The sequence below is a fragment of the Homo sapiens genome, chromosome 20, assembly GCF_000001405.40.
Source record: "Homo sapiens chromosome 20, GRCh38.p14 Primary Assembly".
Taxonomy (NCBI): Eukaryota; Metazoa; Chordata; class Mammalia; order Primates; family Hominidae; genus Homo; species Homo sapiens.
The window spans coordinates 46022726-46050373 of record NC_000020.11 but is presented as its reverse complement, the minus strand read 5'-3'; the positions used below and the strand labels follow the sequence as shown (position 1 = coordinate 46050373).

At 52.5% G+C, this 27648-nt stretch overlaps 1 protein-coding gene across 2 annotated transcripts in view, besides 2 other annotated features; it reads right to left on the bottom strand.

Moving 5' to 3' along the window:
* Nucleotides 1–27648, bottom strand: part of SLC12A5 (solute carrier family 12 member 5) — a 38465-nt gene that overhangs the window by 9777 nt on the left and 1040 nt on the right. The window contains exons 1-17 of one of the 2 annotated variants that reach the window (NM_020708.5): nucleotides 20978–21159; nucleotides 15332–15426; nucleotides 14839–14970; nucleotides 14451–14597; nucleotides 13579–13633; nucleotides 12989–13119; nucleotides 9760–10001; nucleotides 8834–9045; nucleotides 7051–7221; nucleotides 6643–6741; nucleotides 6441–6498; nucleotides 5234–5408; nucleotides 4378–4496; nucleotides 3938–4036; nucleotides 2801–2920; nucleotides 2289–2393; nucleotides 584–752 (exon numbers count right to left, since the gene is read on the bottom strand). In NM_020708.5, coding sequence (NP_065759.1) covers nucleotides 584–752; nucleotides 2289–2393; nucleotides 2801–2920; nucleotides 3938–4036; nucleotides 4378–4496; nucleotides 5234–5408; nucleotides 6441–6498; nucleotides 6643–6741; nucleotides 7051–7221; nucleotides 8834–9045; nucleotides 9760–10001; nucleotides 12989–13119; nucleotides 13579–13633; nucleotides 14451–14597; nucleotides 14839–14970; nucleotides 15332–15426; nucleotides 20978–21029 — 2181 coding nt within the window. In that variant the 5' untranslated portion in view covers nucleotides 21030–21159. Of the gene's footprint in view, nucleotides 1–583; nucleotides 753–2288; nucleotides 2394–2800; nucleotides 2921–3937; nucleotides 4037–4377; nucleotides 4497–5233; nucleotides 5409–6440; nucleotides 6499–6642; nucleotides 6742–7050; nucleotides 7222–8833; nucleotides 9046–9759; nucleotides 10002–12988; nucleotides 13120–13578; nucleotides 13634–14450; nucleotides 14598–14838; nucleotides 14971–15331; nucleotides 15427–20977; nucleotides 21160–27648 lie in introns of those variants that run through there. The other variant, NM_001134771.2, reaches the window with a different exon arrangement.
* Nucleotides 9170–9464: a silencer, noted in NCBI's record as "tiled region #13245; HepG2 Repressive DNase unmatched - State 10:DNaseD, and K562 Repressive DNase matched - State 10:DNaseD". NCBI's record gives its function as "represses a minimal TATA promoter and a strong SV40 promoter by Sharpr-MPRA in HepG2 and K562 cells {active_cell/tissue: HepG2 | K562}" and the evidence as "EXISTENCE:reporter gene assay evidence [ECO:0000049][PMID:27701403]".
* Nucleotides 9187–9387: a silencer, noted in NCBI's record as "peak4225 fragment used in MPRA reporter construct". NCBI's record gives its function as "represses an SCP1 promoter by STARR-seq MPRAs in K562 erythroleukemia cells {active_cell/tissue: K562}" and the evidence as "EXISTENCE:reporter gene assay evidence [ECO:0000049][PMID:32103011]".

Here is a 27648-nt window from a genome sequence, read left to right as displayed (position 1 = left end):
CTGCCCTGTAAGCATGGACTAGTGGGTGGAACCAAGAGCAGGTGACACAGAGCAGGGGCCTGAGTTCAAATCCTGATGTTGCTTCCCACCAGCTTTCTGACTTTCAGCAAGCAGCTTTCCGACTTTCAGCAAGCAGCTTTCCCTCTCTGGGTCTCAGTTTCTTCCTGTATCAAATGTGGATACTCACCTTGTCAACCCCAGACTGTAGGGATCAAGAGTCCACAGCTGGGAAATCACCTTGAAAGATTTATACTTTGGCAGGAAGGAGTCTAGAGTAGGAGTTCAAGGAGTCCTAATTTGAATCTTCATTTTCTGTCCTTAGACATATGACCTGACTTGTCTAAGCCTCAGTTTCCTTATCCATAAAATGGGCCCTTCTGCCTCTGATGGTCTTTCATGCTGTGAGTTGAATTCTAAAGAACTCACTGTCTAGGCTCTTAGGCTCTTCCTCTAAGGAAAAGAAAAGAAATGCCTGCACTTCCTTTGATCCTGAAGGTGATGAGGAAGGAAAGTACAAAAGGATAGAGACTGTCTTCCTAAGTGTCCTGACCTTTTCCCAAGCCCAACCAGGGCCTCTGCTCACCTCTTCTGCCCGCTGGGCCTGTGGATGATTTTCCAGAAAGGTGCCCTCAAGGACAGAGCCCACGATGGTCAGGCCCTTCCCCGCCTTCAGCTGGGAGGTCAGTGAGAGCAGCTGGGGGTGCACCACATTCTGGTCTTGGTCCACACGCACCAGCACCAGCAGCTGTGGCCTGAAGAGTGTGCAGAGTCACATAATCCATATACCATGTAACCAACCATCCACACACCATACACCCACCACCAGGTCATCTAGCCATCTCTCCTCTATAACCATCTGTCCCATCCACCTATACCCCTCACCACCCATCCATTCATCTACCCATCAACCCATTTCTCCATTCACCTCACTCACCTATCTACCCATTCAACCACCCACCCACCTATTTTATCCTTCAGTCATCCACTCATATGCATATTTCTTTACTGATACATGCATTATTCATTCAATTATCCACACATCTACCTACCTATCATCCATTCCTACATCCATCGATTCATGCTTTTGCCCGCCCACGTGTACATAAACTTATCCATCTACCCATCTATTTATGCATCCCTTTCCTTAGTCATTTAGCCGTCTTAGTCCTCCAACCACCTATCAACTTCGTAGCATTCTCTAAGCACCTACTCTGGGCTAGACCATGTGCTGAGCATTTGGGAATTCACAGATAAATAATATAGAGCCCCAGGTTCTGGGAGCCCAGTTTAGTCAACTGGGCTCAGCCAAGACAAGTCAACAATGCCCTAACCTAAGTCAGGGTTTCAGGCTCTACTCTTGGCAAGGTGAAACACAGGGAGATGAGTGAGGGGTTGGGCATGCAGCACCCAGGGCTAAGAGGTGGGGTGTGAGGATTCCATCTCCAGGTCTGCCTTCTGTGACCTGTGAGATCCTCTCTGACCTCCAATTTCCCCCTTTTTTTTTTTGAGACAGGGTCTCACTCTGTCACCCAGGCTGGAGTGCAGTGGTACAATCTCGGCTCACTATAACCTCTGCCTCCTGGGTTCAAGCTATTCTGCCTCAGTATCCTGAGTAGCTGGGACTACAGGTGCACGCCACCATGCCTGGCTAATTTTTGTATTTTTAGCACAGATGGGGTCTCGCCATGTTGTCCAGGCTTGTCTCAAACCCCTGGCCTCAAGTGATCCACCTGCCTCAGCCTCCCAAACTGTTGGGTTACAGGCATGAGCCACCGCGCTCGGCATCCCTGATTTTCACGTGAATAAAATGGATGAATTGTCATTAATCTAGAGATGCCTAAGAGCCCCTATAACTCTCAAAGGGAACGATTCCACCTGTCTCAGAGCAAATGCTACATGATCTGATGTTTGTCTGTCCCCATGTGTGTCTTCTCCACAAAACTGTGAGCTTCCTACATCCCCAGAGACTAGAAGGGGACTTGCCATACATCAGGCATTCATGTTTTATGAAAAAATGATGGAAATGATGAAATGAATGAATGGATGACTGCTCAGGAGGCTAGCATGGTGGGGTATGTGGACATTTACATACCCACATAAATGTCTGGAACTCAGCTCAGCCTCAGTGTTTCAGGTGGGAAGGAATCAGACAAGGCTGGGCTTTTAGGGCACGACTCAGCAAAACAAAGCAAGCAGGATAAGTCAGGCCCTGCTCCCTTCCCCCTGTCTCCTGAGCCTTGCACTCATGCACACACACTCTTATGCACACCCGTGCCCTCACCACTAACCTCCAGTTCTTGGTGTGTGGGGGCCCTTCCTCCAGGCGTAAGAGGGCATAGCGAGCCGCACTGAGAGACAGACCTCGTATCCCATCGCCCCACTCCTTCTCTGCCCTGGGAGCCGGGAAGTGGATCACATGAGAGCAGAAAGCCAGGAGGGGGCAGGGAGAACCATCTACACTGCACCAGCTACCCCAGGGCAGAGCCATCTCTCAGGCTCAGAAAGGACATGTGTATCACTCCTGCCAACAGACTCAACCAAGCCTTGGCTAAGTTTCCTTGGAAAATCACTTCTAAATCCATTCTCTCACCATTCCTGTCCATTTCTCAAAGCCTCTGCTCCCACCCCCCATCTTCCAATGTCATCCCATATCACCCTCTCCCTCTACTCCAGCCCCATCCTCTCCCACTCCCTGCTTCATCTCACCCCCACCACCCCAATCCCTCATGACCCCTTCCCTCTCCTTCCCACCACCCTTCAGCCTTCCCCAGCCACCCCAACCTCCACTCCCCACACTCACCCACGGTACTCAATGTACTTGTAGATGAGTCCAGCAATGAGCATGGCTACCAGTGCATAATACCAGGAGCAGATGAACATGAGGGCCAGGCAGAGGCTCATGCCCAGGAAGGAGAGGGTCCTAGACAAGGTGGGGAGACCCAGCCTCTGAGCCCCAGCAGGGCTGTTGCTGAAGCTGGGACTTAGAAAGCAAGAGGGAGATGGGGCAGGGCATGGGCAAGACCTGGGAGGTGACAGCCCGGTCTAGGGGAACTCACACCATCATCCCCATGAGGACTACGGGGATATGGGATCTTCTGGGTGAAAGAGAAGCCACAGACAGGGCACTACCCAATGCCCTGCCCAACTCCTGACACCCCACACCACCCTGTCCCTGTTCCTCAGACCCTGCCAGACAGGCCTGGCCAGGTGCATTCTGAGGCCAGGGTCTCAGGGGAGTGGAAACGGGTCCTCCCAGGAGAAGGCCACCAGCAAAGCCGGAGCATCCAGACAGGAGTGGGCAGCCCTGGTTCTAGCCCAGTTGTGTCACAGTCTTGCTGGGGGACCTTGGGCCGGTCCCTTGCCCTCTTTGGGCCTCAGTTTCCTTTTGTAGGACAAGCATGATCATTTCTGCTCTGTCTGCCCCCGAGGGCCTATTGTGAGGATGAAGAGCCATAGAGGAAAATGATGAGAGAACTACAGCCTCTGTGCAATGAGCATCTGCCATGTACTGTAGTCCTCACAAGAACCCACAGGCAGGTGCAGCTATCATGCCCATTTCACAGCTGAGGAAACTGAGGTTCTGAGAAGCTACATCATCAGCCCAAGATCTCACAGCTAGGAAGTGCAGAGTCATGATTTGAACTCTGGCCAGCTGACTTCCAGCCTCCCTGCTACATTGTGAGCTATTGGGCATCACGGACAGGAGAGAGATTCCAGCTGAGACCGCTTATGATGCTGCTATGTTATTATTTATGATTGTTAGGAGACCCTCTCGGGGACCTTCCTCATGTGAGTTGGTCAACAAAAGCTGGAGAAAAAAGGATGTCCTCTTCAGGTTTGGGGTCCTTAGACCCAGAGGGGATGGACTGGAGTAAGATGAGGATTGGCGTGGAGGTGAGCAAGTGGCTCAGTGGAAGTGTGGGGACAGAGCACCCACCAGTGGTAATATCGAAAGCGTGGCCTCCAGTTGGGTGTCCTCAGCAGCGTCTGCACTGCACAGGCCAGATTCACAAACATGTAGCACATCAGGAAGAACCTGGAACACAGGAAGGCCCCAGGGGAGACAGAGATGCAAAGGGAGGCAGAAACAGAAACAACAGCATGGGCAGAGAAAGGGGGAAAGGGGACAGGAAGTCAGGAGGTGGCCAGATCATGCTGTGGTGCTTAGGAAGGGGTTTCAAGCCAAATACCCTCACAACACACCCTAATAACACGTGTGGATGAATCTCTCTATAACAAACGATGGGCTTCTATGACCAATGGGGAACTTCCTGGGGTTGCTAAAGTGTCTGGGTGGGTTGTCACAGGTAACGGCTGCAGGATTCAGATAGAGAAACACCCTGAACCAGGGGGGAGGGCAAGAAGTCAGGCACGCACATAGAGAGGATGGGGGCCACCTCGTCGAGGGATGCAATGAGGATGCCAATCTCGCAGATGCAGGCAGTCAGGAGCAGGGCCCAGGTCGGCTCTCCATTGGCCTTGCCATGGCCAAAGACCTGGGGAAAGAGCAATCATCATGGGACTGAGACCTCAAGGATTTCTCAGCCCTCTCCCCTAGCCTCGGGAACCAGTGGAGTAGAGGCAGGAATCCTATCACCAAAGAGGAGGAAGGGAGAGGATGCATTTCTCTTCCTCCAGGAGAATGCAAATGGATAACAGGCTTTCGCTGCATCTTGCCCACCCTGAGATCGGCACCCCAGTGCCATGAAGTTCAAATGATCCCTAGAGGGGGAAAGCAGCTGCAGAGGACCAGATGGGAGAGGAGCTGTCAGGAAGCCAGCAAGCCACCACGACCCTGTGCTCCATCCGTCTTTTTTTTTTAGCACCATGGTAAAAGCTACCCTTTTCTTGCCCTTTGACTGCCTCCCCAGGTCTCCGACCAACCACAGTGCCAAAACAGGGCCATTTATTTTTTCCCCAAGAGCAGACAGTGCTCCAAGGGATGCACTGACCATGGGCCAAATCCCAAGTAAGACACACTTATCCTTCCATCTGGGTGAAGGAGAAGCCACAGACAGGGCACCACCCAATGCCCTGCCCAACTCCTGACACCCCACACCACCCTGTCCCTGTGCCTCAGACCCTGCCAGATAGGCCTGGCCAGTGCAGTACAGAGCAGAAGTGGCCCAGGAGGTAGTCTAAGGCTGGTTATGGCCCTGGGTCACTGTGTGGTCTCTCTGGGCAGGGGCCTGGCTGGTCTACTGAGGGTGGGCTGTTCTTCTCCCACACTGACCTGCAGGAAGGGCACAATGCCATCCCTCGAGATGGCCTGCAGCAGGCGTGGGGCCCCCGTGAGGCTCTGCAGCCCAGCCCCACAGGTGGAGAAGAAGGATCCGATGACAATTACCCATGGAGATGGCCAGGCCAGAGTGCCCACCACGAGGTTGCCATTCACAGCTTCGCCAAACCTGGAATGATGTGGACAGGAGATGCCAGGTGAGCAGTGCTGCCTGGATTTCCAGGGCAGGTCTCCATACCAACTACAGAACCAACTGTGTGCCTGCCACAGGACTAAGTTCTGTAAGGGTGACAGGGGAGGCAGAGCCCCAAATGTTCCATTGTTTTTTCCTTGATAAAATAATTCTCTAATTTCCTGATACTGAAAACCAGGCCTCTAGGCCTGTCTCCAGCATAGGTCCCAGCCCCACGTCCCCCACTGCATTCCCTTACAGAAGCCTGGTGGTACCAGTGGAAAGTGATTCTGAGAGGACCTCCTACACCACCCGGCCAGTTGTGTGTGCTCATGCCCTTCAGACATGAGTGCTCCAGGACAGTGAGCACTCACAGCTGCAGGCATGCGCACACATTTCTCCCCTCCACCCTGGCTCCCCATTGCCTGGAATGCCCTTCCTCCAAGCTGCCTAATCTCTGCTCAGCCTTAAAAGCAGGAAGGATAAGTGAGATAAAGTGTATAAGACACTTCTAGCCTCCCCTCCTCTGAGAAGACTTCCCTGGGAAGATCCCTAAGGACTGGACTGAAGCCCCTGGGCTTTCCTGTATGGCCACCCCTACCGACTGCACTTAAAGTCTGTTGGCCAGTATAGACCCACCAAGAAGAGCTCCTTCAGTACAAAAACCATGTGTTATTTATCTGTGCTGCCTCCAGAATCTCGGAGGGAACACAGATAAATACCACTCCTGTCTGTGTGACCAACACATGGACATTCAGTAAATGTTAGACACACTATTGAATTAATCCATTTTAAAGAAAAGGAAAGTATCATTATCCTAAAGGAAATGAGACACCATCCAAGCTTCTCAAACTGGAGTGACAGAAGGAAGATGAAATATAAGAAGATGACTTTGCAAGCAATCCCCGTGGCCTCCCTCCCACAGGCCCCTCACACAGGTCCCAGCACCTCCTGATGGGTCTGTTTCCCAGAACTCAGCCTTCTATACCCACCCCTCCCCCAGAATAGGATCAACCCCAATTATCTTACTTGTCCCGCAGGACGACCCCCTCAATGCAGGCCCCAAACAGAACAACGGAGCTGATGTCTGCAGCAGAGGATAAAGGAGAATCCCCACGGTTCAGTCCTCCCCCTCCCCACCCTTCCTGCACCAGCAGGTAAGGCAGCAAGTTCAGCTGCCCTCCCTCTTGCCCTCCCCCGAGGGTGGTCCCAGCACAGCTGTGCAGGATACAGACAGCAGAGGTGGTGGCGATGGCCAGGATGGTGCCAGTGGGGATTGACTTCTGGGCATCCCTCAGGTCCCCAGAGCGGTTAGAACCAGCCATGATCCCTGCAAAACAGAAGTGCAGCTAGGACTCAAGCCAGGGCCACAGGAGACCAGACAGATGAGAAAAAAGGGCACCACCCTCAGGGTCAGTGAGTCTGGGATCTAGTCCTAACATACTGGCTTGTGTGAGACCTTGGACATGTTACTTAGCTTCTCCTGGCCTTAATTCCCTCATCTCTCCAATGGGAAGTGAAATGTTACGGTTGCTTTCATGATGGGGTTTTTGGACTAAGAAATTCCCAACATCATCATCGACTCTCTCTTCCCCATCCACTCACAGGCAGAGTCTTCCCTCTCTGAGCTCCCCTTCACCTGTGACTGAGGGGAAGTAGATGCCAACCAGCAGGGTGAAGTAGGAGGTCATATCACTGAAGACATAAGGGTGGTCCATGTCGATAGGAGTGCCATCGGCCAGGCCCACCGAGGTCATCCCACTCCTCTCCACAATCACGCCCTTGGTCAGGTAGGAGCTCCAGAGGTTCTCTGTGGGGAGACAGAATGCTCAGGGGGAGGCCAGCCATAAGGGGACCAGAGCTCTGGGACCAGGAGGTGGGAGGGGGCAAAAAGTCAGGGTCAAGATCAACCCCATCTCACTCTCCCCGGCCTTATCTCTATTTCATTTCCACTGACATTTCCTAAGCTCCTGATTTGGGCCAGGCTATGTACAGACCTTTCACAGACTAATCAGACCCAGTCACTACCATCAAACAGTCCAATCTAGTGGAGTAAATGAGCAAATAAAGACCCATCTCAGATTGAGTCGATGTGTCCCAAATTGATCTCACCCTCCACCCACCCCAAACCAGCTCCTTTCCTGCATCCCATATTTCAGTAAATGGCACCATCATCAATTCTGACACCCTGCCCTACACTGCTCCCTCTCCCCTTCCCCAACTTCAATACCACCTCCAACTTCTGTCCTTTAACCCCTCCTTAATATTTCTTAAATATGCCCCTTCTCTCCATTCCAAGGTCTCTCCACTGTGGCACTAGTGACACTCCCGGCCAGATAATTCTTTGCTGTGGAGGACTGTCCTATAGCATTGTAGGATGTTTAGCAGCATCGTGGCCTCTACCTACTAGATGCCAGGTACACCCCTCCAGTTTTGACAACCAAAAACGTCTGCAGACACAGCCAAATGTTTACTGGGTGGCAAAACAGCCCTGGTTGAGAAGCACTGCAGTAATTCCCACAGACATCATTCCATCACTCTCACTCAGAAAACCACCATCTCTCTCTCCTGGACTCATAGCCTCAGCCCCTTCCTGGGCCCCCTGCCTCTCTCCTCTCACCCCTTTAACCCATCCACATTAGCAGCCAGAATGAACCTTCAAAAAATGGAGATCTGACCACGTCCCTCCCTTTCCCAAAACCCCTTGGTGGCTCCTCATTGCCTTCAGAATGTGGTCCCAACTCTCCAAAATGGCTTCCAAGGCCTGCCATGATCTGGCTCATGCCAGCCTCTCCTACATCGCTTCTTTCTCCACCTTATTTTGCTCTTTATGCCCCAGTCATACCAAATTACTTGTGATTGGAAAGACACAATAAACTCTTCTGCCTCTGCCTGCTTTTAGGCAAGCTGTTCTTCTGGTTGCAATTTCCTTACTCCTCTCATAGAATTGAAGATCTTTCATTTGTCCTTCAAAACCCTCCTCAGTTGAGTCCAGGAAGCCTATTGCCATCTTATACACATGAACTCTCCCCCCCCGGGCATTCTCTGTGCATTGAATGCACATCTACATATGGCATAATGTATTTGCTATTACATCTATTTCTGCCATTAGTCTCCTTGAGGCCAGGAACTGTGGCTTATTTATTTTGTGTTCCTAGCACTCAGCACAATGCTGGGCACTCTGTAGGTGCTCAGTGACCACCTGTTACGTTGATGACTTCTTTTCCTACTAGCGGTGAGATACTTGTCTCCTTTTCACCTTACTCCTCCCTGATGCCAAGGACAGAATGTAACTCAGAGTAGGTGCTCAATTAAAGCTGATTGAATTTAGCTGAATCCCAAGGAGGGCCCCTTAATCCTGACCGCTTAACCTACAATCCCTGCAGCGTTCCCTGGATGCCAGCCCTTGTCCCTCCGCAGACCTTTGATGAGGCCACTGGCAGCACCAGGGATGCCCTGGATCTCTGTGACATTGTTTCGGGTGAAGTATTCATCACAGGTGGCGTTGAGGAAGCGAGAGGAGCAGAAAAGGCCCCATAGCCGTGTGGTCACCGTCTCATTTCCTTCCCAAGCCAGCTTGGCACAGACATCAAAGCCATGGCGAGACAGCGTGCGGTTACCCAGGAGGCAGATCCTAGGGAGAGAAACAAGGGAGGAAGGTGGGGAGCCACATAACCTTGCCCTCGCTGCACAATACAGCCACCGGGAGACCTTTTAAACACACGGACGCCAGGTCCCCATATCCAGAGTTCCTCGTTTAATTTAAATGAAGCCTGGCCATTGGCTTTTTTTTTTTTTTCTTAAGCTCCCCAAGTGATTCTAATAAGCAGCCAAGGTGGAGAAGCACCGCATTAGTGCAATGCTGTGTTTCAGCACCGTGGACAGCGGTCTCGGGGGCCGCCCTCCACCTCTGAGCAGTGGATGGAGTGGACTTGGATCTGAGTCCCTGGACCCTGTAGACTTCTGTGTCTTTTCCCATCCTGGAGGAGTTGTCCAACACTAGGAGATTGTCCCATTCCAGGAGGTTGTCCCCACCCAGGAAAGGTTTCCCTACCACAGACAGCATTCATTGCTTTGGAACTCATTCCCACTTAATTCTTCCTAAGTCCACCCTACCAGCAAGAAGTTGACTCTTACAAGGTAAATTGTTCCCTCCTCCAGAAAAGTTACCTCACTCTGAAGAGATTGCCCCCAAACTAAGAGAGATTTTCCCTCCCAAGGGAAGCTACTCCCAACCCACACCACTCTGAGATTCTGAGGGGCAGGGAGGGGGAGTTTGGCAGAGACTCTGAAACAGGGCCAGGGAGGTAGGAGGACGATTCCTTGGGCTCAGAGCAGCAGCACTCACGGGAAGTTGGGTGGGTCGAAGGCAGACTTGATGACCCCAGCATAGATGGCCAGGATGGAGAGGATGACACAACCCAGGAAGACAAGGGCAAACTTGTTGACATACTTGACACCCACAAACACCACAGTGGCCATGCAGGTGAGCACACAGGTGCCGTAAACACGCATGTTGTTCAGCATGGCTGCTGCCTCCCCACTGGCATCTTCTGCCTTGAAGATGGCCATGGCTGGGAAGAGGTAAGCCTGTGGGAAAGGGGCAGGAAGAACAGATACCTAAGTCAGCAGCCCTTTGCACTACATGCAGCGCTTTAGGAAAAAAGATGCTCATCACAGCACAGTCACAGTGGTACCAGACTGGAAAAGACATCCAGTAATAGGAGAATCGCTAAAGAAGGCATGGCCTGTCCTGCAAGGACTATGATGCAGCCATTTAAAAATGACATTATAAGGCCAGGCATGGTGGCTCACACCTGTGATCCCAGTGTTTTGAGAGGCCAAGGTGGGAGGATCACTTGAAGCCAGGATTTCAATACCAGCCTAGGCAACATAATGTGACCCCATCTCAAAAACAAATAAAAATACATTTTTTAAAAAATGACATTGCAAGGATGCTGGAAGCAATTACTTCTGTTATTTTTGTTAATTATAATTCTTAATAATTATTTATCATTTTAATAATTTCTAATAGAAAGGTGGAAATAAATGTTCATCACTCGAGGTTGGGTGAATAAATCATGATATCCCCACAGACTATGGAGCTATTAAAAAAGATGATGTAGTTGGTTTTTTATTGTTGTTGTTGGTTTTTTATTGTGGTGGTGGTTTTTTTGTTTTTTTTTTGAAATAAAGTTTTGTTCTTGTTGCCCAGGCTGGAGTGCAGTGGCACGATCTTGGCTCACTGCAACCTCCACCTCCTGGGTTCAAGTGATTCTCCTGCCTCAGCCTCCCGAGTAGCTGGGATTAGAGGTGCCCACCACCACCCCTGGCTAATTTTTGTATTTTTAGTAGAGACGGGGTTTCACCGTATCAGTCAGGCTGGTCTCGAACTCCTGACCTCAGGTGATCCAACTGCCTCGGCCTCCCAAAGTTCTGGGATTACAGGCATGAGCCACTGTGCCCGGCCAGATGACATAGATTTATATGGACTGACTTTAAAAGCTATCCATGGTACATTAGGTGAACACAATCAGGTTTTTGAAAAAGAATATGTCTCATTATCTCATTTTTATAAATGTGTATGTGAAGATATATACGTATATTAGTATACGTCTGTATGTGTTTTCATAAGTACATCAAAATGTTGTCAGTAGTTTTCCCTGAATCGTAAAAAATGTGGATAATCTATTCTTTATGCACATCTGTATTTTCTAAAATTCCCATGCTAAATATTAACGTTTACATTCTTCCAAGAGTTATTTTCACTGCAAATAATATATACAAAGAGAATATGAGTTGCTTAGGTATAGGGTTATATTTTACATAGACAGAATACAATACCACATAGAAAAACAAAAACTAGAAGGCAATACACCAAAATGTTAATGGTTATTTTCTTTGGGTGACTTATTTCCTTCTTTACATTTTTTCATGACTTGGATATTCCCCCAATTTTCTGCAATGGGCAGAATTGCATTTACAACAATTTTCAAATATTTTAATTTTTAGAAGTCATGGAGGTCTATTCTCCCTCATCATTTGCCTCCTCAGGCCTTTCATGCCCCATCCATCCTCCCTGTCCTACCCTCTTCCATCCTGCCGTGACACTAATTGCTGTGACACCTTCTAGTTCTAGGTTTCCAAGGCAGTGTGGTATAGAGGACACGTAAATGTATCAAGAAGTAGGCGTTTGGTGAATATTTGATTTTTTAGAGAGAATGGGAAGAATTCAGTTACAATGCTGTTTGTGACATGTAATCTCATTTTTTGTGAGTCTGGACCTACCATATGTTAACTATTGTAAGATTATAGGTGAATTTTATTTTCTTCTCTACCCTTATCATTTTCATCAATGAAGCTGCATCACTTGTGTAAGGCTCTGGAAGTCAGAAAGACCAAGGTTCATATTCCTTCCATTCGTTCCTTAAACTCTGAGCCTTGCTTTCCTCATCTGTAAAATGGCCACCTTTTAGCCAGGTGCAGTGGCTCACGCCTGTCATCCCAACACTTTGGGAGGCTGAGGTGGGAGGATCATTTTAAACTCAGGAGTTTGAGACCAGCCTGAGCAACATAGTGAGACCCCTATCTACAAAAAAATACAAAAATTAGCTGGGCATGGTGGTGCTTACCAGCTACTTGGGAGGCTGAACTGGTGGGGGGGATCATTTGAACCTGGGAAGTCGAGGCTGTCAGTGACTGCACCACTGCCCTCCAGCCTGGGCAACAGAGTGAGACTCTGTCTCAAAAGAAATAAAAAATAAAATAAAATAAAATGGCCACCTTTAACTCATGAGAGAGTCATGACGATAAAATAAAATGATATACTTCAAGCCTTGGGGCCTGCACAGAGTAGGGGCTTGGGACATGTCAGCTCTACTTCCTATCCACCAGGGACACCTCTTCAGCACCCATGCCCTACAGGAAGGGGATGAAGGATGGAGACCTAAGTCACCAGTCCTGACTTCAAGCACTGCCCAGCAACCTGGTTTCTCTCCATCAGTCACTATTCCCAACAGATGTCTTTATACGGATCCCTCCCCTGGTTCTTCTCTTTTGCAATCCAATAGCCACCAGCCATCTACCATTAACATCATAGAGTACCTAGCACAGTCCATGCCCCTTGGGAGGCAATCACACAATGGTAGCTGCTGCATAACATTACTGTTTTTATTTCTACCATATTTTAACTCATCAACCCACCTCTGCCGCCTATCTGAGAGCTGAGTGACCTTGAGGAAGTTATCTCACCTCTCTGAGCTTCTCATTTGTAAAATGGGCATCATAATACTTAAACCTCGTAAGGATACAAGAGAATGGCTGGAAAGCACTTGGAAGGATGCTGAGAGCTCAGTGGGGGCCTGATAAACGACAGCTGTGTATGTTACATAATTATTGTATCTTGTCTCCCCAACTAGACTGTGAACTCTTTAGAAACAGAACCACATCTGACTTTGGCCTTACTGAACCACATTTTTGGCCTCACTGAATGGCCTGGCCTATAGGAGGTGTCCAGGGAGCACTGATTAACTGACTGACAACCTGGGGTTCCACACCTCCTCCTCAGCCTCTCTTACCAGCAGGATTTCGATGGTGCCCAGGATGTACATGGCTCCTGCAAAGGTAGTGCCCAGGTAGAAGCAGAGGCCCACGGCACCCCCAAACTCTGGGCCCAGAGACCTGGAAATCATGTAGTAGGAGCCACCAGCTGCAGGGAGAATCTGGTATCAGCGAGAGGGTCGGGGGCACTGGGCTGCCGTAAGGGGTGAGGGGTGTTCAGTGACAGAGGCAGAAGGGGGTTGCTCCAGGCCTCACAGGCTTATGGGCTGCAGCCCTAGAAAGGGGACTGGTGAGAGACCCAAGCAACCACTCTGCATGGATTTTGCAGCACTAATTACCATGTTGCTAATTACCCCTTTAAGGAGGTCATGGCTCAGAAAATTGGATGGTGGAGAGGAGGGTCTCAGGATGAGTTGGGGGAGGGCTGCCCTATTCAACACCGAGAGCTGCCTCCTCCTCTGCCCCCAATAGGGCTGAAAACAGATACAGCCCAGCCCCCTAGTCTAGAATATTATCTCTCTTGGGCCTTGATGTCCCCCAAAGCCCAGGGCACTATCCCTCCTTCCACCCAGCCATCCTCCCTCCCCACAAAGCCCCAGTCACCTACCAGGCACAACACCATTCGTTGCAATTGCACTCATGGAGATGGCCGTGAGCATCGTCTGTGAGGAAAGAGATCATCAGAGCGGTGGCTGGGGTAGGGGCCGCAGTGGCCTGGGTGGGGGCCAAGCCTTATACCCCATAAACACCAGCCAAACCCACAGGTTCTCTTCTGCTGAGCTGCTCCCTGGACCTGTTCCAACTTCTACTCCTGCCAAGTCCTTCTTCTCAAGAAAACCTTATTCACCATGCGAACGGAAGGAGCCCAAGCAAGCCACAGCATCAGAGAGCTCTGGAAATCCCAGCCTGGTCTCAGACCAGCTGCCTGACCTGAGACAACTCACTTCACTTCTCCAAGCCTCAGTTTCTCCATCTATAGAATAGGAGTAACAGCTCCGACACTGCGTACCTCACATGCAGAGCTGTCTCAAGGTTATGTACGAGGACATGTAAATATATCAAGAAGTAGGTGTTTGGCGAATATTTGATTTTTTTAGAGAGAATGGGAAGAATTTGGTTACAATGCTGTTTGTGACATGTAATCTCATTTTTGTGAGTCTGGACCTGCCAAAATGTTAACTATTGTAAGATTATAGGTGAATTTTATTTTCTTCCCTACCCTTATCATTTCCATCAATGAGCTGCATCACTTGTGTAATTACACACAGAGAGATCCAGGTGAAACCTGGTTAACAGCCATCAAGGACAAGCCTGTGAGATGCAGGAAGGACCAGTCAGGCCTAATTTACTCTCAAAGATCATAAGCAGTGGTTCCTATAAAAAGCTCAGGTCTCATGCTTCCATCCTCCCACCTCCCACCCCCAGGCCTCTGCCAAGCCCCAGCTGTCAGGGGGTGGTGAGGGGAGGGGTGTCACTCACACAGGAGCAGCAGATGAACACCATGCAGAAGGACTCCATGATGCCTGCAATGCCCACCACCCAGGTGAGCCGCAGGAAGAGGATGACGCCAAAGATGTTCTGCAGGCACGGCAGGTACACGCCCATGAAGGTGCCCATGCGTGGGGCCTGCCAGGGAGGCCAGCATCAGTCTCTGCAGTCCTCATCATTACGAACACCCCAGGTGTGCTCCTCCTCCATGTTTCTCTGCCCCCACCTTCCTCTTCTCTCTATTCTCAACCCTTCATCCCTCTTCTTTCTGATTTGTATCCCCTTTCCCTCCCTCCATTCAAATCCATTTTCCTCCCCCATCCTCCCCCACCCCCCATCCGTCCCTTTTCTTCCATTTCTCATCCCCCGAGGTCCTCACCTGCACCGGCTTCTTTTTTCCACCCTCATTGTTTTCTGCCTCTTCATGCTCCCTACTTCCCTGGGGCAGGTTGGTGTAGTTGGCCAGGCCACTGAGCAAGGAGGACACCATAGGGCTGGTGTCCATCTCCTCCTATGGAGGGAGGGTGTCAGTGCTAGGAGGCTGGGGGAGCAAGTGGAGTGAGCTGGGTGGCGAAGGGCAGAGGAAGAGATGGGGACAAGGAGCACGAAACTATTCAGGTTGGGATGAGATGGGAAAGGAGGAGGAACAGGTGAGGAGAACAGGGGTAAGAATGGTAGGATGAGGAGAGGGCAGGGAGCAGAGGGAGTAAATCCCAGGAGGGAGAAGGAGGGATGGGGAGGCTCAAGGAAGAAGGTAGACTCAAGGGAGGGGTGGAGACGAGGGTATTGCTCCCTAGGGAGGGAGGGAGAGAGCAGCTGATGAATCAGGATAATGAATTGTAGGTGGGGGCCCAACAGCCCTAGCAGCCCACCTCAAACAAGGCCATGTTCTTGCCATCATACTCCTTTCCCTTCTCTGTGTCGGTGCTGTTGATGAAGGGACTGCTTTCCTTGGGGTTGCCATCACCTGAGAAGGGAGAGGGGTCAGGGATCTGGAACCAATCAGTTGTTGTCCAACCACCTGGGCATACAGTGGTGTAGCCACAGTAGCCCTCTGAATCTCAGTTCGCGCATTGGGAAAATGGGGCTAATACCACCTTCCTTGCAGGGTTGCAGTTGACAGCATGTATACAGAGCCTAATGCACTAGCTGGTATGCACTGCGTATTAACAGATGTGTGAGTGCTTCCTTGCTCTTGGGGGTCCTATTCCATTTACCAGGACACCCCAAGACTCTCCAGAGTTTCCTTCTTAACTATAGCTGGGCTCATACCGGTGTTTGGGGTGGAGGCATGTTCTTTCCCAGTGGAGAAGGTCTGCCTTCCAGGAGCACTACAGATCAAGGCCCCAAGGATGTGCCACTTCTTGAAGAAGTGACCCCCTCTGACATCTCCTATGCCCTTTATTCATCTTCATTCACAATGTGTTTACCAAGTGTCTACCGTGTGCCAATACAGGCATGGGGGAAGCAGGGTAAGACACAGAAGACATCATCCTTGTTCTCAGGAAAGCAACCCAAGTGCAGGGAGACAAACCAGTAGCCAGGAATTTCCAATCTGGCATGGTCAATTCTAGGATAGAAGATCAAGGGACTGGGACACAGGAGAGGCATCCAGCCCAGATTGGGAGGTCATGGGAGTCTTCCCAGAGGAAGTGACGTGTCCGCTGAGAGCTGAAGAATGAGTAAGAGCTAGCCTGGGAGGGAGGAAGGGAGGGTGTTCCAGGCAGACAGAATAGCAGAACAGCATGTTCAATGGCCCAGAGGTGACAGTGAATAGAGTGGGTTAGAGGAATGAAGTATGATCTGGCTGGAGTCTGTGGAAGGGGCAGTGAAAAGTGAAAAGGTGAGCCTGGGAAGGGAAGCGCAGGCTGGTCCCTTAAATGATTAGCAGGTCGTGTTCAAGAATGTGGACCTCATCCAGAGGGCAATGGGGAGTCATTGAAGAGTTTCAGGCAAAAAAAAAATACCATGAATAAACCCATGTTTTAGAGCCATCACTCTGGCTTTTAGGTGAAGAAAACAGAGTACCGTAGTTAGAGACTTTCAGTAACCCAGGTAAGGGCTGATGATGTGCCTGACCAGAGCAATGTAGAGCAACAGACAGAATTATTGGCATATTTCCATGCCAGATGTTTGGGGAGGGGGAGAGGAAGAACCTAGGATAATGTCTGCGGTTTCTAGCATGGGTGAATGGTTGGATGATGGTGCTATTTGATAAATGGGAAGACTAGAAGAGAAGGAGTTTGGAGGTGGGGAAGATGCTGAATTTAGCTGAGGGTGAGGCACTGTAGGGCACTCAAGTGGATACATGCAGAAGCCACCTGGATATACGAATCAGGATACATGCAGCAAAGAGGCTAGGCAGGAGAAAGAGATGGGGGTAAGCTATGTAAACATGTGTAGTATGCGTGTGAAGCCATGTGCCTAGATGAGATCACTCGAGGAGAAAGTATCTTGGGCACCAGGGGGGAAGGTCCCTTCAGAAAGATATAAGAGGCCCCATAGGTACATTTCCTTGGCTTCAGCCATGACCCTTCCTCAATTCCGGGGCTGAATTCCAGCAGTTGACATCTCTCTGGACACTGGAGAAACTCCCCGCTGATCAAATTCCAAGTGAAATTGAGGCCCTAGGCACCTAGATTCTCCTGTCCCCTCGATGGCTGACATCCCTTTCTCCCCATCTCCATCCGTCTGCGTCTTCCCCATCCTCCTCTCTACCTCCGGGAAACCTTCCTCAGTCACCCAGCCAGAGCATGGCCTGTCTCTGTTATAAAACCAATCTCTTCCTGACTAAAAATTGGGCCAGGAGGAGTGATGCCTCGCCTGCTCCAAAGAAACCCACCACCCAGTCTTCTGCCACCACCTCCACCTCATCCATCAAGGCAGAAACTCCCGGTTGTCAAATAGGGTGCAATCGTCAGCTCTTTCTTCTCACATATGTGAGTTCCTGGGAATAAGAGACCCACCTCCCAGCACATAATAGGTGCTCAGGAAAAGTCTTTGGAGCTAAGTTCTCCAGGGCTCCCTTCTGGACCCCAGGGTCTCAGAAGAGCTCTCTGGGGCCAGAGAACAGGAGAAACAAGGAAGAGGTCCTTTTAAAATGCTGATAGTATGCCTCCTGTTCTCAGCACATCATGGTGTGGACTAGAGACTGAGGGGACCTGAGGTGAAAGGATGTTTCCTAACGGTTAAAAAAGGGGGCTGGAGTTATGGAAACTGACATTCCAGTCCCAGCTTCACTGGCTGTGTCGTCACTTTCAGCAAGTCACAAATTCTCTACGCCTCAGTTTCCTCCTTTGCAAAGGGATACTAACCAAGCTTAACTCATAGGGCTGTTGCTAGGATTAAATTAAATCATGCATATTAGGTGTGCCCGCCACGAGTGTGGCTATTGCTATCATTACAATTGCGATTATTATTAACATACTTGGTGCCCACCCAGCCGGGGCTCCCCATCCCACATCTCCAGCCGCATATCCAGCCGCAAGATTTTGGGGTCCTGTCTCCTATGGAGCTGGGTCCATTTCCCCGCAGCATCCCCTCTTAGGGCCAGGACAACCAGACAGGAGAACCCCTCCCCTCTGCCTTTCACACCCCCTCCCAAGCGCCTCCTCCTTCGCGGGGGCGGGTGGCGCTCAGGGGACAGGAATAGGGGCTTCCTGGCCCGAGACCCTGCAACTAGGTGGCCCCGCGCCGGTCTCCATGGCGACCGCGCAGGCCGAGAGCGCAGCGCCGAGCCTAGCCGGCCGCGCGCCCGCAGCCGCTTATGTAACGCGGCGCGCAGCGCGGAGCCAGACTCCAGGCCGGATCCGGGCCAGGAGATGAGGGCAGGGGAGAGGGCGGCTAGGTAGGCTAGTTCTGGGTCCCGCCTTTCCAGTAGCTGCCTGGGCGGGACGCCAGGCTCCCGGGACTTGTCAGCCAGGGCTGATTTCGTCCCCTCCCTGAACGCCAGGCGCACTGGTTGAGGGGGATGGGGAATGAGCTTCCGAGTTCTCAAAGGACCAGAACAGCTAAGGGGAAACTCGCCCTGATTCCCCGGAGCCAAGGAGTAAGGGTGATGGCGGGAGCGCCGAGCGGCGCGCGCGCGAGAGGCAGGGCCAGACTGAGGCTGAGCCCTCCCCGCCCCCGCCCCCTGGGAGCTCTCAACCCGAATCGGCTTTCAATTAAGCTGCGGCGGCCAGAGCTCCCGGGGAGGAAACAGGCGAGCGGCGCAGGCTAAGAAGCCTCCCCGGGGCCTGGGGCTGGGCCTGGGGGAATCCCTAGGCCAGGTCCGAGAGGGAGACGGGGCGTCAGACCCCAAGGAGAAAGAAGACCGGGACACATCCCTGGGCTCTTCTTTAGTCCAGAAGTGCCCTCTTGCTCGGGTCATCCCCACCTGCCCGAGGTCAGCAACCAGTTCCTTCCCGTACATCCCCAAGAATCTAGAATCAGAGATGTCAGGGGCTCTTGGCCTGATGGTCCTCTCTCAAGCCCAGAAGGTCCTTAGCACCTCCTACTACCATCTCCAAGCACCGCTTGGAGGAGGGGGGACTTCTCTCTCTGGGACCCACAGCACATGACCCAGGTTCTGGCCATTTGAGTTCCAGGTCCTGGACCCTATGTATAGAAAGAAGGTCTCCAGATGGGTCCGCTGCACTCAGTGTCTAGAAACTAACGGAGAGGGGATAGAACTGAAGCGAGTTCCTAGTTCAACTCTTGCCTCACACACACTGATGCCTCTTTTCTAGGCCTCCTGAGCCCCTGTGGAAACCCCAAGGCCTGGTGAAACCTTGGCAGAGAAAGCGGGTGCTGGGAAATGGGACCATACCTGGTGTCTGAGGGAACAGAGAGATGCTCTCCATCTGAGTCCCCCTCTCAGAGTGGAGGCATCTGAAGGGGATCCCGGATGGAAAGATCCGCGTCGGGATGCCTGGCGCTGCCGCAGACTCAACTTTGCCAAACCCCCTCCCCCTCCGGCCAGAAGCCCGCGGGGGAGGGGGCGGATGCTGGATGAGGTGATCCCAGGGTCACTGGGGAGGTGGATGAGAGGGCCAGCTAGGAGTTCTGGCACCTGTATACCACTCAGCCCCCAGGAGGAATGAGGAGTTGCGGGAAGCGGCGGGGGGTGGGGGGGAGTCAGACAAAGGATCAGGGACCCTGGTGTCCCCAGCCTTTCCAAGCGGCCACTTGGCCCTGAGATCCAGGATCCGGAGGACCTCAGAGTCAAGGTTGCCAATCCCTAGAAGACCCTGCTCTTTCAGCCCTAGGCGCCATCCGCCAGAGGGATCTGCGGGAGTCTAGGCTCATAGGGTCAAGCAGTGCCCAGGGGAACGTTTGAAGGCGCTGAGCGCAGACAGCAGGCGCGGGAGGCGCGCTAGTGCGCAGGGGACGCAGCGCCGCTGGAGAGTGGGGGGTGGGGGTGGCTGACAGCCGTGATGGATGGCTGAGACCGCTCGGGGGCGGCGGGGGGCCTGGGAGCCTGAGGGGGTGGCTGGCCCCAAGACCTCGGAGCAAGGAAGCCGCGGAGGAGGGCGGGGGAGAGCGGGAGCAGCGAAAGGACTTGTCCCAAGCCCCTCGGCTCCTTGCGAGTCTCCGCACCCACCGCAGCGCGTCCGCAGTGTCCGCGTCGCGGCGCTGAGGAATCAGCCACTGGGACCCCATTTCTGAGGCCTCACTGGGGAAGCTAGCAGAGCTAACTAAAAAGACTCCCCCCCGCCCCGCCCTGGACCGCCCCAGGGAACTGAGAGGAGGGGGAAAGAGGGAAGAAAGGAGGGTGATCTTGCTTCCCGTCCTGAATAGGAACCCACGGGAAAGCGAGAGAGAGATTCTGCAAAGTAGAGCTGAAAATCTATGGAGGAAGTACGCTTCAGTCTGAGGTCGGACCTTGGGAAGCCTTGGGGGAGGGGTCCCAGATTGCACCAAGGGGACAATCTGGGTGTCTTAAGGAGACACCACAGCCCGGACGGGGGGCTGTCATATGGCTCCAAACCCCCTACACACACACACACACACACACACGCACACACACACATACGCACGCGCGCGCACACACACACACACACACACACACACACACAGCCACCTCTTCCCCCATCTTCCAGATGGAAGTCTTAGAACGAGGGACTGCAGCAGACTGCGCCCCCCGGCTCCACGGGTGCCTGCTCTGCGCCAGGACGCCGGGGTCCCCTGTCGGGGAAAGGAGCCCTCCTCCCGCCGTCGAGCTCCACATCAGCCCATTCTAGGTCTTCTATCCCCTTCCCACCGCCTCCTCGGTTTAGCTAACCCAAGTCAGCCCGAAGCCGTGGGCAGCGATAATCCCCCGGCCCGCAGCTCTGCCCCCGGGCGCGGCGCATTCCAGCACCTTGGACAGCGCCCGGAGCATTCCAATGGAGCTGAGCTCCAGGCTGCAACTGGCGCCCACCGCCCGGGTCAGTCCCAGCCTCCTCTCTGAAGGAGGTGGCCCCCGCTCCGCCTCTAACCCCAGAGCTGCCTCCTCTCCTCGCTGCCCCCTCCCCCGCCGCCCCCGGACCACAGCTTACCCGGGTTGGCTCCCCCATCGCCGTCCTCGCAGTCCGTCAGGTTGTTTAGCATGGTGGCGGCGCGGCCCCTGGTCCGGGGATGGCTGCGCCGCCTCGCCCGCGCCCCTCTACCCGCCTTCGCCGCTCTCTCGTTCGCTGTAGCTCTGTCTCGCTCTCCGCTCCACGGAGGAAGAAGCTGCAGTGCCCGCCCGCCCGGCGCACACACACTCGCACACGGACACACGCTCACACCCGCGCGCGCCCCCTCTCAGCAGCGGCGCTGCTCACCTCATCCCGTATGCAGGAGGCGTGAGCCACTGGCGGGGTTTTGGGGGGAGAGCGGGAGGGAGAGAGAAGAGAAGATGAGGGGCGGGCAGAGCCCGACTAGTGGCCCCCTTGCACAAAAACTGGGGGATTGCGTGGGTGGGATGAAGGGGGTGCTTCGGGGGACAGGGCCTCGCCTCCCTTGAGCAGACGCAGCTCCCCCCACCCACTCTCCGGGCGGGGCCCGGCACGTGGGCAGGTGCCATCCCGCGCCCTAAAAATAACGGCAGGGAACTAGGTCGCGGCCGCGGGGAGGCGGCCCCGCAGCGGCTGCTTGACTGGGGGTCTGGGGTAACCCCCAGGGGGAAGATAAAGGGCACTGAAGTGGCCGTGGAGGTGCGCCATGGAACATGGGGCCCTTGGGAAGCCTCTCTGCAAGACTGGAGAGGCCAGCCCTGAAGTGGGGGAGGAGAACCAGACCCTCTTTCATACCACTGCTCAAGAGATTGGAGCTGGAGGCATGTAGAGCCCAGGGCCCATAATTAAGCAATGTGCTACCCCCAGGGGCGTTCAGGTCACTGGGCTGACTGACCCAATCTGTCTTAAAATGGGTGGGGTAGCGCCTGAGAAGTTCCAAGGAACTCTCTCATTGTGCTTAGACTGACAAGAGTCCCAGCGTCCCACCCCCAAGACAAGTCCCTGGAGCCCACAGCCAGGGACCTTCTGACTGCGGACTGATCTAGAGATAAGACCTGGTGAGGAGGAGCAGAAGAGGCAGCAGTGAGTTTCCAGGGAGCACTGACTTTCCATCAGGGATGGTGCAGCCTCTAGGGAGGACAGGCCGGTCCTGAGGCTGGCCAGGGACAGAGTGGGGGAGGGCGGAATGAGGCCGCCTGTCGGTTTGAGACCAGATTTTCTCCTGGGGCAGAAGTGTCTAATCCCCTAATCCAGGATTGCTTTCTGAGGCTTCCAGAGCCGACATGCTCTCTGTCCTCCTCCCCTCTTCCCTTAGGCCAATCCCCCAGAAGCTTGATCATCCTGGGACCCCTCAGAGCCCCTAGAGTCCAGGTTTGAGCCAGTGGTGCAGACATCTCAGGAAGTGGCATCAGAGGTTTGAAAGCTTTGAGTCTCTAGAAGATCTAAACATCTGAGGGTGGGAGCAGATCGGGGTAAACAATCTTCACACTGGTACTAGCTCTCTCCCTGGCTCTCTAAGTTCCAGAAAAGTTCTTCGGTTGGGAAAAGATCAGTCATTGTATCTTACACACAGCTTTCATTTCACAGATGAAAAAACTAAGGCCCATAGAGGGAAAATGACTGCCTGTGGACATAATGCCAGTGGATGGCAGAATTTGGTCTAGCATCCAGTTTGCTTTACTCCAGTTTAGGACTCTCTTCATTGATAGAACTTATAAAAGTCGTCTTGCCTCCATAGAAGAGACAAGGATGCAGTCATATCCATGCCCCTCAGCAGCCTCTGATTATTAGCTCCTGAAAAACAAACAAACAAACAAACAAACAAACAGGCACTACATCTGAGATGTGCTTTATTCCTTTTCTTGTGCTCAGGCTTCAGAGGTGCAGGGCTAGAATGGACTCTTGGCTTGCAACTGAAGGGGAAGCCTCCAGAAAACCTGCAAAAATCCTAAAGAGCCATTCATATCCCTGGAGACCGGGGTATAGGACAGGACTTTTTTCAGGACCATGGACAGGATCCAGGGCTCAGCTTTACTTGTATTAATACAATTTGTCAGTGGCTTCAGATTGGGTCAACCGTGGAGTTTTCAGCAGCTGACTCAAAAGTGCCTCTGAGGGACCTACCAATCAAGTATCGCTGCCACTTGGTTTTTTGGATACCCAAAGGACCTTTCAGGGTGGAGAGTTAGCTATTCAGACAAGTTGTGGGCACTGGTATTCTTGGCTCTCCCAGAGAAAAAAACCACCAAAAGGGTGAGATGAGTTTGAATTGGTGACAGAGGTTAAAAGAAGCCAGTGTTCAAAAATTTTTAAGCATGCCACTCCACTCTACACACACACAGCACTAGCAGCAGCAGCAGCACTGTGTTCTACTACTCTGCAGAGATGCATAACAGTAAAACACGTGTAGCATGTTTGTCAGAGAAGTGCTGTAGAATGAAGGAGATGCTAAGGTTTTTCAGTAATCCTAGGTCTGGCATGTTCCCCTGGGGTTATTTTCCTTCATTTGTGGTCCAGCTTTGGCCACTCAGAGACTAAGCCCATGCATGGGGAAACCTAGATTCTAGGGAGTACGGGTGAAGGCAGGAGTGATTCCTCTTTCCCTGGGGAACCCATCTGTCCACCTTCACTAGAGTTCCCATCTCAAGAGCCATCTGAGATTCAGGAGATAGTGGTTCTGTCATATCCTCTGCCCCCAAATTCTCTGTGTATCTCTGGGCAAAATCAGGTTCCTCTCTGTGGGCCTCAGTATCCCGTCTGTAAAAATGAGTTAGGTCGTATAATCCATGGCACTTCTTCCTGCTCTGAAAACTCTTAGTGCTCTATTAATCTCAGACCAAAGCCACATATCCCTTCCTAAGGAGCCCCGACCAAGTGAGCAGACAGTCCCAAGGGGGGACCCCAGCCCCTCCACTGACACCCCTCACCTCTCAGGAAGACTGTGCCCTATTCTGGCCTCCAGCCAACTCTCTGTGGTGAGGTTCAGAGAAAACACATGGCAGGCACCCACCACACTGCCAGCCTGGCACTGGCCAGTAAAAAGTGACCCACAGCTCAGAGCCCCAGGAACCTGGCTGCCAGTACAGCATCCCCTCCCCACCAAGAACCCTGGGGAGATCTGGGGCCAGAGAAACCCTCTCACTAAAGCAGCACAAGATGCAGGGCTAGGGAGGGTCCTATTTCTAAACTCTGAGTCTCTCAAACTCATACCCCCTCCCACCATATGTCTCAGAGAGAAAAAAGCTCAGAGAAGCTGCCTCCTGAGTGTCAGGATTTGGGAACTGGAAGAGATATTATAAATTATTTTCCACTCTCCACTTATTGTGAAATTGGAGTCTGAAAATGGAAAGGTTCATATTTTCTTCATGGGGTGAACTTGTAACAGACTAGGGACTAGAACCCAGCCCCTTGACCTCCTGTCCGGGACTCCATCCACTGAACCAGGACAAGGGGCTGGTTGGAGGAAGCTAGAGCCACCGGACTGGGTCCTCTTTTCACAGGAGGCAGGCATAGCATTCCTCCTTATGGCTCAATCCCTCTCCCTCCGCATCTCCACTGCATTACCCCCACAACCTAACCCACCCACCGCTGGCTGTGGCCTTATGGGCCCAGGGTCCTGAATGCCCTCCTTCACTCTTCTTCTTCCCCACCCGCATGCCCCATCCTCGGACCCAAAACTGTAGCAGTGAATTGATGAGTCCAGCGCAAAGCACGCCCCACACACACAGGGCTCACTGCGGAGCACGTCAACCACCACTGTCTCCGTGGCAACCGGGGGTTTAATTAACAGGCTGCAGCCCCATCACCATAGCAACAGCACCCCAACAGCCCCTCATTCCTCTGCAGACTCAGTCCATCTTCCCTCTTTCCCAATCCGGACCCCTTTCTCACTGCACTCACCCCCCGATCCCCACCCCACCTGGAGAACTGAGGCCTAAAGATCGCTCTGGTTCATTGAGAAAAGGGGAGGGGAGAGGAGGGGGATGAGAGAGAAAGAGAGAGCAGCCTGTCACCATGGCAACTGCAGCCCCGTTCATAACCAGTTTGTTGCCATGGAGATTCCTAGGGCTCACCTTGGGCTGAGGTACCGGGCAGTGAGGTTCTGAGTTCTGGCTTGGGGATGAGATGACTGGAGATCTCCTTAGACAGACTGGAAATCTCCAGATCCAACATATATACCAATAACAGCATTATTCTTCCCAATTTACAGATGGAGAGACTGAAACATGAGGTTTGTGTCTAGAGAAGGCAGACAGCTTCATCCTTCCAAATCATCACAAAATCTTAGCATTTTTATGGTTAGAAGGACCCTTAGATAGCTTCCTGTTCAACTCCTTTATACTACAGATGGGTATATTAAGGCCCAGAGAGGGGAAGAAGTGTGCCCAAGGTCACACCACAGAGCCTGAGCTAGAACACAGATGGGCTACATTGTGGTCTTGCTCCATCCTCCCAGCATAAGTTAGCTCCCTCTCCCTCCATGGGGACACATCCCAACTCCTGTTAGTCCTACCAGGCCCAGGGCTCTTTTCAGGGCCCTGACTCCCCCCTGAGAAATGGAGGCATAGTAGAGGATCAGATAAAGGAATAGGGGAGCATCTCAGAGTTGTAACAACTGTCACCAGGTCTACTTCTGTTCATCCAAGTCACCATCAATCTCCCATGACACAGGTGAAGCAAGTGAGGTGTGTGGCCCGCAATCCAGGGTTAGTGGCAGATTTGAGGCTTGGCCTTGCCTTGCTTCTTTAACTCCCTGTAAGTCATGTTCTCACCTATGGCTCATCCTCTGGCAGCAGAAAGCCCCCCAAGTGGCAAACCCCACTCATTTGGCCCAGAGTAAAAGATAATACACACCCACACCATCTCCCCCAACCTTTCCCAGTCTTAGACATGCTGCTATCCCTCCCTTTGGGTGAAGACAAGAGGTGGAAAGAGAATCTATCAGGGGCTAGAGGGCTGACACAAGAACAGCTATGGGAAAGATACCAGCAGATGCTGGGTTCCCCTAAGTAGCCCTTGTCTACTTCCCCATACAGTGATCTGCCAGAGAGGAGGTGCTTGAGACTGCTTCAGGCTTAAAAGGTTAAAAGTCACCCAAATCATTGTCCAGATGGAACTTCCAATACACTCCTGCACACAGGTACCCACCCCTCAGATAGACACAGAAATGTACACATCAGCACACCCTTCAACGTGCTGGCAATATAGTGACACACAGAAGCACTGAGTGAGTCACTGACCACCCCACAGGTCATCAAAACTAATGGGGGATGCTCCTCCCACAAGACACACACACACACACACACACACACACAGCCTCTGCCACAGCACACAGCATTCCAGGCTCATACACACCTGCACACCCAAAGCTTGGGGGCTGTGTTTCACTTCGACCCCAGCGAAGTAGTGTGAGTACCGGCATCTGAGAGTGTGAATGGGAAAACAGCAATCACCTTGGGACATGAGAGAGGGCCGTCTTATTCCTAAGCCAGGGGATGAGGAGCGAGAGAAGAGAAGGCAAGGGTAGAGAAGCAGGATCCCACAGCCACCCTCCTCTCATCTTATGAGCATTACACACCTACTAAGTGCCAGGCTCTGGGTCTGGAACTCAGAACACAAAGATAAAGGAGATGGTCCCTGTCCTTGAGATGTTCCAATGGAGGATACCCATAAGTAAAGAAAACGACTGCCATCCACCGGGACATGTGCACTAAGGGTGCAGTGGGTGGGCCGAAGAGGAAACTGAAAAGGTTTTTGGAAAAGGTTAAATGAGCTATAACTTACAGAACGAATAGGAGTTTTCCTGGCTGATGGAGGTGGGAGAATGAATGTGGACAAGAACACCAGAAGCAAATGAGGAAAGAGAATGACAGACTTAAGGCTTTGGCCTTTATTTTGCAAGTGATGGGGGGCTTCTGTGGAGGAGGGCTAGGGAAGGACTGGAGGCAGGGAGGCCAGTGGAGAGGATGTGGTCGTGGCCATGTGAGGCTTGGAGCAGGGCGATGATGACAGAGGGGGGACCGATGCTGCCAGATTCAGGATAAGTTTCAGAGGTGAATGGCCAAGACGTGGGGATCAGTTGGATTTGCTGGAAAGAAAAAAGGAAGGGTTGAGAATGGCTCCAGAATTTCTTACTTTCAAATCTGGGAGGCTGGTAAGGTCATTCATGAAAATGAGAAAAGAGATTATGAGAAAGATGAAGAGTGGAAGGAGCCCAAGAAATCCAAGTGGCCACAACCAGGAGGCGTTCGGTTCCCGGGACTGGGGCCATTCGGAATTCCAGGCCTCAATTTGGTCATCTGTACAATGAGGAGGTCCGCCAGATAACCCCCTAAGGGTTACTCTAGGGGTTTCGGCGCTTGGGTTTGCTTCGGGGCGAGCTCACCTGCGGCTCGGCAGCGACCCCTGGCGGTCTGGGGAGGCTTCTCCTCCTCCTTCTCCTCCTCCTCCTCTTCCTCCTCCTCTTCCTCCTCCTCCTCTTCCTCCTCCTCCTCCTCCTCCTCCTCCTCCTCCCCTCGCTGGGGCCACTACAAGCCGATTCGCCTTGTTCCTTCCAGACCCGAGGGCCTCAGAGCCAGGGAGAGGACCCCTGATGAGTGCCCCCTGAGGGGAGACTGTGCACGCGCCCAGGATGCTACTTCTCCACCGAAGGCCAGAAGGATCTTTCCCCTCCCCTATACTCTGTGCCCTGCGTGTAACTTCCATTACAAGACCCTGCACAGGGCCCGCGA